Source organism: Homo sapiens, chromosome 5 (genome assembly GCF_000001405.40).
Source record: "Homo sapiens chromosome 5, GRCh38.p14 Primary Assembly".
Taxonomy (NCBI): Eukaryota; Metazoa; Chordata; class Mammalia; order Primates; family Hominidae; genus Homo; species Homo sapiens.
This window is the reverse complement of record NC_000005.10, coordinates 128,122,087-128,138,192: the sequence shown is the minus strand read 5'-3', so window position 1 is coordinate 128,138,192 and position 16,106 is coordinate 128,122,087. Positions and strand designations below refer to the sequence as shown.

General features: G+C 35.1%; 1 protein-coding gene across 6 annotated transcripts in view; it reads right to left on the bottom strand.

Annotated features, from left to right (window-relative positions):
- Positions 1–16,106, bottom strand: part of SLC12A2 (solute carrier family 12 member 2) — a 105,912-nt gene that overhangs the window by 51,485 nt on the left and 38,321 nt on the right. For all 6 annotated transcript variants that reach the window (NR_046207.2, NM_001046.3, NM_001256461.2 and 3 more), the window contains exons 5-7: positions 6,987–7,126; positions 3,918–4,028; positions 2,385–2,493 (exon numbers count right to left, since the gene is read on the bottom strand). Coding sequence is in view for 5 of the 6 variants with exons in the window: in NM_001046.3 (NP_001037.1) it covers positions 2,385–2,493; positions 3,918–4,028; positions 6,987–7,126 (360 nt within the window). In the remaining variant the exon portion in view is untranslated. The remainder of the gene's footprint in view (positions 1–2,384; positions 2,494–3,917; positions 4,029–6,986; positions 7,127–16,106) is intronic.

Sequence of the window (16,106 nt, the reverse complement as noted above, 5' to 3'; positions counted from 1 at the left end):
CCGAAGCAGGCAGATTTCTTGAGCCCAGCAGTTTGAGACCAGCCTGGGCAACACAAGGAAGACCTTGACTCTAGAAATAATTAAAAAATTAGCCAGGAGTGGTGGCACATGCCTGTGGTCCCAGCTACTTGGGAGGCTGGGGTGAGAGAATCATTTAAGCCTGGACAGTCGACACTCCAGTGACCCATGATCATGCCATTGCACTCCAGCCTGGGTGACAGAGTGAGACCCCATCTCAAGAAAAAAAAAAAAAAGGAAAACAAAAGCAACATCATAATAATATAGAATCAACTTTTTGATAGCTTCCAACTTACTTTACTATCTGTATAGATTTTGGTCCACAGCTTTCTCTGCTGTCTAGTCACCTATTGATTTTTGAGGCTGTCAGACAATTAGCTACCCTAAGTAAAGTTCCTTTCTATTTCAACAACAATAAAAGCTTCAACTAGACCTAGTGTTTTCATCTCTGACTCTAAGATAACCGACTAACTGTAATGTATCCATCTATCCATTCAATACTTCAGCAGCTACTATGTGTCAGGTCCTGTACTAGAGCTTTCTAGCACCTCAAAGTACTTGGAGATGCAATATAAACAAGTTAGACATTGTTCCTGCCTTCATGGAATTTAAGAGTCTCAATAGCAAATGACCAAAATAACAGGTAATTATAAACAGCAGTAAATGTTCTGATGGAAACAGGGATTTGTGAATAACAAATGAGAGAGAGAGAGAATCTAATTCAATGTGGTTACAGAAGGCTAAGCAAATATAAGGAAGGAGACAATACTTAAGCTAAGAGTTTGCTGAGCAAGAATCAGCCATGTGATCATCAGGGAAAAAGAGTATACCAGAAAAGAGAAACAACATATATGAAGACCCCAAAGTAGAAAAAGGTTTAACTCTTCTGAGGAAATAAAAGAAGATAAAATTCTTATAGTAAGGAGAAAAATTAAATGAAATTGGAGTGACCACTGAGGAACAGAGTGTGAATATTTTATAAAAGTTAAATTTATCCTAAATAAAATGGAAAACCAAAGTAGGGTCATAAACACGCAAATGACATATACTATTAATGTTGTGTGGACAATGGACTGAAAGATTCAACATCTGATAACAGGGAGGCCCATTAGGAGGTTGCTGCAGAGGTTCAATCTAGAGATGGGAGAATAAATACACTGATTAGGAAAGGATTAGAAATTAAGAGGAGCAGGTAGGACGGGAAACACTAAGATCCTGGTTTCAGCTACTTGCTTAGATGGAAAAGCCTGAGAAGAAATAAGTAGGAGAGACTTCAAATAATCAGTTGGATATATATTTATGTTTGGACTTTAAAGGAGAGATTCAGGAATAGAAACATGTCAGTCCCTTAATAGCATTTTGAGCCATGAGAATACACACCACCCAAGGGAGAGTGTATAGTTAGAAGGTCAGCACTATAATAGTTGTAAAATTCTGCATTTAAAGGGGGTAACAGGAGTAATGGACATAGTGACCAGTGAGTTAGGCACCTAGGGTATCTGACATCGAATAAAATAGACATGTTTCAAGAAGGAGAAGGAATGACTAAGAGAAATGAAGCAGAGGACAAAAAATTCATAGTGCATCTATCACCATCTGACATATTTTAACCAACAAAAGCCAGATGTGAGAGGGGTTAAGGATGAAGCCATTTGGTAGAAGTTTGACAGGGCTATGAACAGTCTCAGAGTATTCTTCCACAGATCACTTACTAACTGCAAAGAAAAAAACAGCAACTTCACAATAGAGAAACTGTGCAGGTATAACCTTGACTAAGTCATCAAAACTAACACCACTAAGTAATATAAAAAACTGCATCATGCACCCTCCAAATGTGCTGGACTGAGAAGGAGACACGGTTCACTTACGTTCCTGACAAACATAAATAACCTGAATCTATAAAAACAAATAAGACAAACCCAACTGGAGAGATCTCCTAAAAATCAAATGGCCTGCACTCTTGAAAAATGCAATTATACCAATAATTGCTTTCACAATCTTAGGCGCTTTTATACTGTTGTGCTTAAATATGTTAAAAGAATGAAAGTCATATTAGAACAAAAGTTAGAAATTCAGTTACAAATTCCCAAAACTAGTAGAGAATAAAATCTCCTTTTCTTAGCAGCACTGATTTCTCCATATTCTATCACCTTTTGTTGCTAATAATGAAAAAGAAAAGATGTAAATAGAAGTAATTTTTACTCCAACTGTACAGCATAAAGGGGACAAAACTAAATTGTAAATTAGGGTGAATCACCAAACCATAGTCAATTCTGTTACAAAATATCTGAAATGTACAAAATTTAATTGATGATAGAATTCTATAAATAGGTACCCTTAAAAAATATTGAATCTTTTTTACTTACATTTATAACCAAAAAACCCTTTTGGCTTCTTGCTCTCCAGTGGGATAAATGTTCCTATGACGAAATCACCAATAGCAAGAAGTAGGATCACCAAAAGAACAATCTGAGCCTGCAATTTTAAACATTAAAAATTAAAATCAAGTATCTTGTTTCTATATCTTGATTCAATTCCCCTAGAATATAACTTCCATGAGGGAAAGAATTTCTGTCTTGTTTTGCCTGATTCCCCAGTGCCTTAAACAATGCCATATGCCAAGCAGCTGCTCAATAAATCCTTGTTTAATGAACAAAGAGATCTTTAAAGAAATATCTGGGGAAAAAAAAGATAGTAAAAGTGAGATCATGCCATATTTCTGAAATGAGTTAAAGATGTGCATGCCTTCCCACAAACCATAAAGCACTGTAAATTCCAAAACAATATAGGCTTTCATTCTAGATCATTCATTCCTGTCTCTTCCACCTTAACACTACCATCTTGACATGGAGAACATGCTGGACACAAACACAAGTTTTATACATGGTCCAAACATAATGTTGAGTGTGTGATTGCTACAGGAAAATAAGAAAAAGTACAGAAAGAAGATGACAATATACAGGAGGGAAATTCAAGTAGCAATGGGATTGGAAGGAAAGAACAATCTATGAAAACTACCATTTCCCCTTCTCCACTCTCAACCTCTCAATAAACCTGAACACTCATGAAAAACGGTGTCATCTGTGGGAAATGGAACTACATACATGCTAATCATGTCCCAGGTGGTATAAAATTCTGTTATTTTCATACAGTCAATTTGTAAAATGTGTAAATAAATGATTTAATTTTACACTAATATGACTTTACAATAAAGAACAAGATTGAAAAAATTATTCTTTCAGGCTTTCCTAATTTTTGGTTTGGTAAACATTATCATATCATATATAGCACAAATATGTGACTTTTATAAGGTCTTCAAAAGTAAACACCTTTGTGGATATCCATTACTTGGGAAACTACAGCTGTGCTATGATGCTCTAATTCTCAAAGAGACAAAAACACTTCTGGGTGCTCTGCTTATGGGTAACATGTGACTTTAGCAATTTTTTCCAGAAACAATGATACTGGCTTTGGTAGTCCTAACTTCTGAAATTTCAATAGCAAGAATAACTTCTCTAACCTCATGTGGGCAATAACTTTTATTTACTGCCCCATGTCTAAGTTGAACTTTTAAATAAATTACAAAGCCAAACGTTTAATTTGGACTAACACACTGACCTCAGCATTTTTACATACTGCAAAACTGGAGGATGGGCGAGAAGGCGGGAAATTCAAAATTTACAAAGTACTGTGTTTAACTAGATCCTAGGCTGAGTGTTATCTCCAAAGATTCTCTGCCTTGTCAAGTAGAAAATAACCTTATACATAAACATTTGTGAAAATGGCCACTTAGGTACCATTAGAATCTGGAAATATTACCATACTTCAGAGTGTTCCCAAAACATAAGCTCTAAAAGTTTACGTATTAAATATTTACAGGTGTTCCTATCATAACTTACTTTTGCTTCCCACTCCATTCCAGCTACTGAGATACCTAAAAGAATCACGACTGTAATGGCTCCAATAATTCGGATATCATTGATTTCATCTATCATAAGTATGGAATGTTCCTAGAAAAAGGAATCATAAATATAATAAGCAATACTAGTTATTTTTATACACATTCACACTCCTTTTGAAACATTTTAGAGATATTACGGTGCCTTACATGAAGAAGTTGAATAAATGGTTGCTTAAGGAATAAATGGAAGACCTAAAGGAACAAATTACTATTTACCACTGAGGTGTTAGTCATTCAAGCATCTGATGACATAAATGTATGATTATTAATGCTTCTATATTTAATATAGACTCAATAAATCAAAAAAGGAATTGCTAACAAAGAAGTAAAAAAGTTATAACTAATACTGCTAGTTAGAATTTTAAGTTATATAGCAGAAATATATTTTGTATTTATTGTGATTAGTGAACTCATGCTTTTAAAGGTCTTTTATACTGTGAGAGAGTAAGTGATAAGCACAACTTCCTGCTGCTGTCCAAAAACACACTGTTTCCACTCTGCAAACAAAATTATTTGTAGTTTAATATCAATGGCATTTTTAAAAGATTCCCATCTAGGATAAAATTAAAGATTATGATATCCCAGTTAACTAAGCAAAAGCTATTTATCAATTACTACCACTTCTCAAATAAGGTAATAAAAGGCACAAAAAAACTAAAACATAATTTAGTTGTTTTGATAACTCAGGACGACTATATTCTGTGCAATTGACTAAAGTACAGATTATAATAATCCTATCAATTTGCTTCTTTTAAGAAAAAGCAATCTTGTTAATGCTTTTCAAAAGAAATTATTTCATAAAAGTCAATTACAAGGGAGGAAAAAAATTACTTGAATTCCAGATAAATGACCTTAATACAAATATTAGGGTGGAAAAACCCCTAGATCCAAAGATCCAAAGATGCTTTTGTCAACTGAAGGCATAGAAAGTGTTAATATTTAATCAACACAGTAGGAAAAGTCATTTCCCAACCTTGTCCACCTTCAAGGGTCCCATTCAATTTCATAAAGCTACATACTTTTTACTTTGCAAAAAAATTTTTTAGTGTTTTTTTAAATTTGATTTCGACATCTCTTGAATTAATCTGATCGTTGAAATTCCCTATAGCATTTGGAAAATCATATCTGAGAATTACTTGAAAAAAAACGGTACTAGTGTAAATGTATCTATTGACTGGCTTTTAGATTCATGGACTATGATTGTAATAGAAGACTACTGCTATAGCTCAATATTTTATATAATAAATGTAGTTTAAAATGTTTGAAATTTCATATTTCTCTAAGTTAAATTTTCCATGAAACAAAAACATGTATAAACCCTAATTAAATACTTTGATAAGACTTCATAGAGTAAACCTTAAACTTTGACTATCAAATAAAAATATACACTAAATTAAACAATGAAAGAATATAAACTCTAATGAGTACATTGCTTACTCATGGTATTATAGCCCTTTTTCTTCATCCCTTTGGTGTAAACATGTAAAGGTCAATGTCAACGCAGGTGTCAATCCTTGTCAGATTTTATACTTCCTTATGTACCATTTACTACTGTAGAATAGTTACAACCTAACCTAACATGAGCAATTATAGGTGTCACTTGAGGTTCCTCTCATTTAATAATATTTGAGGAATCCTATTGCACTCTTCTTTAATTATACTCCAGAGCAATACAGCCAGCTCTATTTGGATATACTCATGGTTCTTCTAGTTAACACATTCAAACTAAACTGTCCTGTGTTATCCATCACACCGCAAATGGCATTATCTTCCATCTAAATCCAAAAGTCAGAAATTTGTGTATAAACTTGAAATCCTCCTATTTCTCTAATTTCTCACATCCCATTAATTATCAAATCCAATCCTTCAAATTCTTTAAAATCTCCCAAATTCGCCCACATCTTTCCCGCTCCACAAGTCACTGTTTTAATATAAGCCACCATCTCCTCTCCCAGGACACCTACAACCTTCTAAATGGTCTCTATTTCCATTTGTGATTCCTCAAGTCCATTCTCCGTACCATGGTCAGATACTTCCCTACATCCCAAATCTGAGCATGTCACGCCCCCCAATCCCAAACAAGACCCTAACTTCAATGGAAATAAGACCCTTCTCCTGATTATTTTTTCTCTCTCTAGTATTAAATGTCTTGCTGCTTTTGTGCTTGAACCATACAAAAATGTTTGTATTTTTCTTTTTTTCTTTTTTGAGACAGAGTTTCACTCTTGCTGCCCAGGTTGGAGAGCAAAGGCGCGATCTCGGCTCACCGCAACCTTTGCCTCCCCAGTTCTAGCAATTCCCCTGCCTCAGCCTCCAGAGTAACTGGGATTACAGGCATGCGCCACCACACCAGGCTAATTTTTTATTTTTAGTAGAGACCGGGTTTCTCCACGTTGGTCAGGGTGGTCTCAAACTCCCGAACTCAGGTGATCCGCCCAACTCTGCCTCCCATAGTACTGAGATTACAGGCATGAGCCACCACGCCCGGCTGTACTTTTCTTTATTTTTCCGAGACGGAGTCTTGCTCTGTCGCCCAGGCTGGAGTGCAGTGGTGCCGTCTCAGTTCACTGCAAGCTCCACCTCCTGGGTTCACACCATTCTCCTGCCTCAGCCTCCCCAGTAGCTGGGACTACAGGTGCCTGCCACCACGCCCAGCTGATTTTTTTTTTTTTTTTTGTATTTGTAGTAGAGATGGGGTTTCACCATGTTGGCCAGGATGGTCTCGATCTCCTGACCTCGTGATCCGCTCGCCTCGATCTCCTGACCTCGTGATCCGCTCGCCTCGGCCTCCCATAGTGCTGGGATTACATGCGCGAGCCACCGCGCCCGGCCCACTGCTGACATTCTAATAGTATTTTGTTCTTTGCCTATCTCCTGTAGTAAACTTTATGAAGGACGAATCTCTTGGTCATCATATCACTGCTTTCCCAACCTCTAACATGGTGATCGGCATATAATCCCTCAATAAAGATTTGGTAAACGAATGACTAGAAGGAAGGTGAATTACCTTAAGCAACTCCACCACGGTTTCTGCAAATCCAACCACATACATAGCAACTGCAACAGCGTTGGCAAAGGCGAAGATTAGACCAATTGCACCACCAAATTCTGGCCCTAGACTTCTAGATATTAAATAATATGCTCCTCCTAAAAACAAACAAACAAACAAAAAAAACAGGTACTAAAGTTAGGATTTAAAATGCCAAATTATCCTTTAATTATACATGAATTCACAAAGCAGATGCCCCCAATAAGCAGAGCAGTTAAAGAGGCAAGTGAGTGACTGTATTTTCAGAAATACCTAAAAAGAATATTTCACAAAACACGTATTAACAATTCACAACATCCAGATAATGCTCCCAATATCAAATATAAAATCATCCTATTTGAATTCCCATTTTATCTTTTAAAGTTTAGATTAAAATGGGCCACAGCCTCCTCCCCTTCACAGATCCCAAGAGATCATTTCCCAATGAATTTCTAATATATTTAATCTTAATGTAACTTTTATTTTTATGCTTTTTTTTTTGTTTTCAGAAACAGTTTCACTGTCGCCCACGCTGAAGTGCAGTGGTGCAATCTTGGTTCACTGCAACCTCTGCCTCCTGGGTTCAAGCAATTCTCGTGCCTCAGCCTCCTGAGCAGCTGAGACTACAGGTGCGTGCCACCACACCGGACTTTTTTTTTTTTTTTTTTTTTGAGACAGAGTCTTGCTCTGTCACCCAGGCTGGAGTGCAGTGGTGTGATCTCGGCCCACTGCAGCCTCCACCTGCTGGGTTCATGTGATTCTCCTGCCTCAGCCTCCTGAGTAGCTGGAACTATAGGCGTGCGCCACCTGGCTCAGCTAATTTTTGCATTTTTAGTAGAGACGGGGTTTCACCATGTTGGCCAGGATGGTCTCAATCTCCTGACCTCAGCTTCCCAAAGCGCTAGGATTACACACATGACTGATTTTTGTATTATTAGTAGAGACAGAGTTTCACCATGTTGGCCAGGCTGGTCTCAAACCCCTGACCTCAAGTGATCTGCCCACTTCAGCCTCCCAAAAGTGCTGGAATCACAGGTGTGAGCCACCACGCCCAGCCTTAATGTAACTTCTAAATCACAGTTGGTATGATTTTAATTACTTAATTAAGACAATTTGTGGTAATGTGAATACCAAGACCAAAAAAAAAAAACAAAGTCTCACAAGAGCATATAATGGTATTCCAAAGAGATGTAGTTTGTATCCCAGTAAATCCTGTCTAAATGGCAGAATAAACAAAGATATTAAATGAGCTATCAAGAAGCAAGTTATTTTTTCTAACTTAAAAAAGAAATCAGTATTATGATTCAGAGACAATCTAATGCTTACCTGAAGTCTCTAAGAGCTCTTTTAAAATTCTAATTTAAATTTGGCCATTAGGTCACAATCAAAACTTGGTTTTAATACTACTGAAGTTACATAAAGCTATATACATATTTCTATTAACTGATTAAATACTTGAGACCATATAGTGAAATGTCATTAAACAGCTGAATATTTGTTTCTATTGTTCACCCAGTATAAAGAAGGTAAATGCACCAACAAAAAAATTCTACAGTTAAAGTACTAATGATGCAAACTTCATTTTGGAAAACACCTGTAACAGGTTTTCTAGTTGATTCCTATCAATTTGCTCAAAATATTCTACACTTTAAACCCATCCACTATAAAACTTTCTTAGTTTTCATGATCCTGAAAATGAAAAAAAAAAAAGCAACCTAACCATTTAACATTAGCCTCATGATTTTGAGATAAAAATGACTTAAAATTTTCCACGAAATATTCTTGAACACTAAAAACTCCAATTAATTTATATAATGACAATTTTGTCAAAGATCTTTGACTATATTACATCACATTATAATTAATCACAAGTAAAATCCCTACAATAGTATAATTATCAGCCTTTATCTAACGTATGTTTTAAAAATTAATGAATTATTTCATCTACTCCCAATAGCAAAAATGAATTAAAACAAAGTATATCCTGATTTTATAGATGAGAAAATGAAGTCACAAAGAAAAGTTATTGAAATTAGTCAACACTCTTGTCTTTAGTAGTTGACAATACAAACTTTAGAATCAGAAATATCACCAATAGGACCTATTAAAGCAAGAAATTCATGTTATGTGCCTTAAAGTTTTGATTTTATAAAATGTGAGATTTCAAAAGATTTAAAAGTCTTTCACAAATACAGAAACTTAAAATGTAAAACTCACATTTTAAAAGATTTGTATTGTTTTCAAGAAAAAGGAAGTGACACATGGATAAGAATGTAAAAACAACTGCACATCATCTATTACTTCTTATGAAAATCAACAGTTATTTGCCCTATTCCTTCCCACTTCCATTCCTATTTCCTAGAGGTTTTTTTTTTTTTTTAAAGATCTACCACTCTGAAAGGCTGTGTTATTTTTTTACTAATCAGCACAGACTAGGTATACACCTTATTTTGTTAAATACTACACATTTAACTTAATTCTACTAAAGTACTGTTGTCATCCTCATTTTACAAATGAGAAAATTACAGCTCAGGGAGGTTAAGTAATTTGGCTAAGGTCATGTAAGCAGCTAAGTAAAGAACTGTATTTAAACTCAGGTCTCCTTGACTTAATTGCTTACCAATACAGTATGTATGATAAACTCTTGTAAATCAGCCTTTCTGTTATCGCTAAAAATGCTGAAGACATAGAAAATAATTTTATTAAAAAAATCTGTTGATCAAGCAAACACAGACATCAATATGGAAAAAAAGTCCTGATGGGGTCTCATAATTGGTCATAAACTACCCTAAACTCTGACTGTAAAGAACATAATTAGTCAGATGCCAGAGATACTAAGTAGTGACAATACTGAGTTCCATCTTTATTACATCTTGATTTGGGGATATATGCCCTGGTAATTCTTATTAAATGTCCAATCAGTAATCAAAACCCTAACTAGGCTAATCAAAAGCCTAACATTAAAAACTGGTTTCAGTCATAAAGTGTGTCTCAATTTCAAAAACCTGAAATAACACACTGTATATTACTGACCACAACAGAACTATATTAGATGCATGAAAGATCCCTAAATATTTAAATTACATAACACACTTTTAAATAAATCACAAGCGAAATTAGAAAGTATTTTGAACTGATTTGATAACGAAAAGTGAAGCATAAAATTAGTGAGATATACCTAACAGAAATTACAGTAAAATTTGTTTTAAATGATTATACTAAAAAATGAGGATATATCAATAATCTAAGCTTCTAACTTCAGAAACTGGAAAAAGAGTAAATAAAATCTAAAATGGAAAAAACAGTAAGAAGAAAGCCAAAAGTTATTCTTAAATATTAAAAAAAACTGATAAACAATAGCTAATCAAGAACAAAGAAGAAAAAAGTAAATTAGGAATGAAAGCAGGGACATGTCATTACAAATCCTATTGCATCAAAAAGTTAAGAAGGTAATATATTAAATGACTTGATTACAATGATTTTGCAACTAGATGAAATACACAAATTCCTTGAAAAACAAAATGTGGCAGAAGTGTGACTGCAACAGGAAACTGAAGTAACCCTATAGTATGACAGAAATTAAATTTGTGATAAGCACTCCTGCCAAAAAAAAAACTATAGGCAGAGATGGCTTCACTGGTGAGGAAGAAATAAGATCAATTTTACACAAACTCTTTCAGAAAATAGAGGAAAAGGAAACACATAAGATGAGCATAATACTGACATAAAAACCTAGTAAGGTTATTATAAAAAAAGAAAATTCCAGGCTAGGCACGGTGGCTCACGCCTGTAATCCCAGCACTTTGGCAGGCCGAGGCAGGTGGATCACAAGGTCAGGAGATGGAGACCATCCTGGCTAATACGGTGAAACCCCGTCTCTACTAAAAATACAAAAAATTAGCTGGGCGTGGTGGCGGGTGCCTGTAGTCCCGGCTACTCGGGAGGCTGAGGCAGGAGAATGGCACGAACCCGGGAGGCAGAGCTTGCAGTGAGCCGAGATCGTGCCACTGCACTCCAGCCTGGGTGACAGAGCAAGACCCCATCTCAAAAAAAAAAAAAAAAAAAAAAATTCCAGACCAATATTCCTTATGATCATACTCAAAAATTGTTAAACTATTAGCAAGTAAAATTCGACAGAAACGATAATATCTCTGACCCGGTGAAGTTTATCCTACAAATGCTAGGTTGTTTTAGATGCAAAAAAAAAAAAAAAAAAAAATATATATATATATATATATATATATGTAGGTTGTGATAATAGAATAAGGGAAGAAAAAAAACATACAGTTCAACAGATGCAGGAGAATCATGACAAAATTCACCATCCATTTAGGATAAATATGCTCAGCAACTCAGAAATAGAACTAAATCTGACAAATGACATTTTAAAACCTTATAGTTAACAGTGATATTGAACTCATTCCCTCTAAGACTAGGAACAAGGAAAGGATGTTTATTCTCAACACTTCTAGTCACCATTGTTCCATAGGTCTTAGGTAGTTCAAAAGGCAAGAAAAAGAGGAAAAGTCCTAGAGATTTGAAAGAAAAAGTAAAAACCATCTCTATTCAGATGACAAATCTTGGCTATTGTGAACAGTGCTGCAACAAACATGGGAGTGCAGCTATCTCTCCAATATACTGATTTCCTTTCTTTTGGGTATATACACAGCATTGGATCATATGGTAGCTCTATTTTTAGTTTTCTGAGGAACTTCCAAACTGTCCTCCATAGCGGTTATACTAATTTACATTCCCACCAACAGTGTACAAGAGTTCTATTTTCTCCACATCCTCTCCAGCATCTGTTACTGCCTGATTTCTTTATATGATTTGCATTTCTCTGATGACCAGTGATGTTGAGTGCCTTTTCATATGCCTGCTTGCCATTTGTATATCTTCTTTTGAGAAACGTCTATTCAAATCTTTTACCCATTTTTAAACTGGATTATTAGATTTTGTTCCGAGAGTTGTTTGAGCTCCTTATATATTTAGGTTGTTAATCCAATTTTTTGGGCAGAAATTGGCATATCTAAGTCAAAAATTTATATGAAAATGCTAAAGATCTAGAAAAGCCAAAACAATTATGAAAAAGAAGAACAAAGTTAGAAGACTTAGGACTTACTGTGAAGCTAAGCAATCAATACAAGATAGTACCAGCATAGGATACACAAACAAATCAATGCAACAGAATTCAGTCCAGATGATAGACAACTGATTTTTCAACAATGGTATCAAAAACAACTCAATAAGAAACAGATAGCTGTTTCAAAAAATGGTGCCAAAACAAGTGGATATGTGTACAAGGATGGGGGCAAGAAGGGTAGGGAGAAAAACAACTACACTCTCCATCTCACATTATACTCCAAAATTAATTTGAGATTGTCCACAGATAAAAATCTAAAAACTGAAACTATAAAGCTTCTAGAAGAAAATATAGGAGAATATCTTCATGGCCTTGGGATAGGCAAATATTTCTACCATGAACAAAGCACTAGCATAAAAAAAAAGAGAAACCGGACTTCATCAAAATGGTAAACGTCTCTTCACTGAAAGACATGATTAAGAAAATGATAAAAATGGTAAGACAAGCCACAGACTGAGAACAAATACACACAATATATATGTCAAACCGAATAACATAACTAGATATATAGAAAAATCTACAAATCAGTAACAAAAAGACAATCCAATTTTTAAATTGGCTAAAGATGTGACTACATCCCAAAAGAAGATTGTACAAGTGGCCAGTAAACACATAAAAAGATGCTCCTCATCATTGAACATCAAGCAAATAGCCCAAACTCCTCCTTGCCACCTACCACTCTCTCCATACACTTCCACTGTGGTCTGTAGGTGTGGCCTCATAGAATCCTGGTACTAAACTTCTCATTTCACACGCAGTAAGGCTGAGATTCAGAATCTGTGACTTTAAGCCATAGGTGAACAGTAAAGCTGTGAGAAGACTCGAGCAATCTGTTATTTAGTCCCATAACTAAAATCAAAACTAAAATGACTGCCTGACCTATCTCTTATTATTGTTTTAAGAGTTAAAATCCTTTGGAAAAAATAAAGCCCGATCACAATTCCATCTTAAACTCAGGCAAAATACTGAAATTATTTTCCTTGCTGTGATGTTGTGATGTAAGAAGAAATATATATTTGGTCTTCATCCAAGGTTACTGCAACAGAGCTTATAAAACCCTTGGAATTTACTGATCAGGTGAGAAAAGCATCTTTTGTTATTTAAAATAAGCCCCTTCAAATCTACCTCAGTTTACGGTAATAAGGTGACTTGGTGGGCCCTTACATAGCTTCCGGATTGGACAGTGCTAGTTGCTAGAGGAACAACTATGTGATTAGAGGGTTAGCACTTTCAATACCCCCATTACCCACCCCAGCTCCCACCCCTCACACCTTAGGGGAGAAGAGAAGGGAGAGGCACTAGAAATTGAGCTAATCATTAATGGCCAATGATTTAATCAATCGTGGCTATATAATGGAAAACTATAAACAAAGGGGTTTAGAGAACTCAGGCTGGTGAACACAGAGGTGCCAGGAGGATGGCACTTGGAGAGGTCATGGAAGCTCTGCATCCCTTCTCCCATACCATCCTTTACTCAACTCTTTTATTTGGCTCTTTCTGTGTTGTAGCCTTTATTATAAACTGATGATAGTAAGCTGTTTTCTTAAGTTCTAGGAGCCATTTTAGCAAATTATCAAACCTGAGGAAGGGGCTGTGGAAACCCCCAATATATAGCCAGTTGGTCAGAGGTACAGGAGGCCTGGAATTGCAACTGGCATTTGAAGTGGGAGTAGTCTTGTGAGATGCAGCTCTTAACCTATAGGGTCTGCAACAACTCTGGGAAATTAGTGTCAAATTTTAATCAAATTGTTGGATACCCAATTAGTGTCCAGAAAGTTGGGGAATTGGTTTGTGTGGGGAAAACCCACACATTTGGAGTCAGAAGTGTGTAAAACAAGAAACAGATCCTAGTAGTATTGCTATTACCTAATGTGCAGAACTTCATGAATGGTGTTAAGAGTCACAAGGGCTTTTGCCAAGATGAATGGAATGGCACAGAGTCTAGAAATAGACTCACACTGTAGGGTCAATTAATTTCTGAGAAAAGCACAAAGGTAAGTAAACAGAAAAGAGATCACCTTAACAGACGGTGCTGGAATAACTGGATATCCATATGAATACTGATTCACATTTCACAATATATACAAAAGCTAGCTACAAATGGTAATATATCTAGCTGAAAACCTAAAGCTGTAAAACCTCTAGAAGAAAACACAGAAGAAAATCTTTGAGACCCCAGGCTAGGGAAAGGTTTCTTAGATACCATTCCAAAAGCACAATCCAAAAAGGAAAAAGTGATGAACTGGACATAGCTAAAACTATAAGCTACTTTTCTAATGATGCCATTGAAGGAATGAAATGACAAGCCATATACTCAAGACAAAAAAACTATAAATCATTTATTTGATAAAGTAGTTGTATCTAGAACCTCTCAAAACTCAATAGTAAGAACTCTCAATACAATAAATAACCCTTCAAAATATGAGTAGACACTTATAGTACATGAGAAGATACCCAACATCTTTAGCCATTATGGAAGCACAAATGAAAACTATCCTAAGATACCACTACGCACATACTAGAATGAAAAATAAAAAGGACCATACCAACTGTTGGTGAGGATACAGATACGGAACAAGTGAAACTCACTGTTGGTTGGAATAGAAAGTGAAAATTTTGTAAAAATAAAGTTTTCTTGGTGTATTGAGGAAAGAATCAAAGGGTGACAATAATGAAATACATTCCAGTATCCTGGTTTACAAATAAAAATAAGGAGTTTGCCTCTTAATGTTTGGCAAATTTTCTCTATTTTATTGCCATTATTTTATCAAATAGGGAAAGGTGAGGTGACAAACATGGAATCTTCCAACCAGGATTAGGTGTTATCTTATTGTGAATGATCACCAGAATAATTCAATTAAATTTTAAGATACAAGAGGCAAAGACATATAACCCTAATTCTGCAGCAAACAATTTTGGAACCAAGCTGAAGTATTAATAATAAACTGCATAAACTGGCAAAACTGAAAGGTCACCAATGAGTAAAGAAAAAACCCATGCTGAAAATTCTATTACTTGCCAGATTCGTATCTGAGCTATTTGTAGAATACAAATAGTGTTTTACTGAACTGAAAACATAAAGTTATGTTAAATTTAATAAACCTCATAATACAACTGTGTTTTACAGCTGCTTCAAACATTTCATTGATCTGAAAAGTTATAATTTCAAAGAAACTAGCTATTAAAAAAAGGAACTATGGAGCTGAATTCTAACTTAGAACTCCTTGCTTGATAATGGTAGGAACTAATAGTTACACAATGGATAAAACAAAAAAATTTGACAATCAATGATAATCTGATTTTTCAAATGCAGAAAGCACTTTTCTGTCACAGTACGTGGAAAAAGTTTTTCCTTATTTCCAATGTTTTTGGCTTTATCTATTTACAAAAATGAGGAGGTACTCAATTATTTCAGAGAAAAGTAAAAGATATGAGTACATAAAATTGTGACTTATGTAGACATTCTAAAAATTCACAAGCAGAATCTGCATAAAAATTAATTTTGTTAAAAAATGGGTATAATTGATTTTTTGTTCTCACTATCCATGTAAATGTTAAATGTGACTAACCACAATGTTGCATTACATAAGATAATGTATGTCAACACCATGGCATCATGCCTAGCAGTTAGTTCTCAAAAAATAATAGCTACTATTATTACCTCAATGTAAACTCCAATAACATAGCATTTTGTCTTTCACTGTTAAAAACCCAGTGTCTGTCACAAAATGCTCAACAATTGTCAGCTGATTGACTAAAGTACAAGTAACATAAAACTTCATCATGGAATAGGCAAGTTTATGTTGATTTTAGATTTTGGAAACTTCAGAACTACCTATCTGAAGTTTTATGTAACCAAGGCTTTTATCTGAAAAGATACTGACCTCTGCTTTTAACTTAGTCAACTAAATGCCCCCAAGCAAAAAGTGGTTGAGGAAACTTTCCTTTGTATTGCT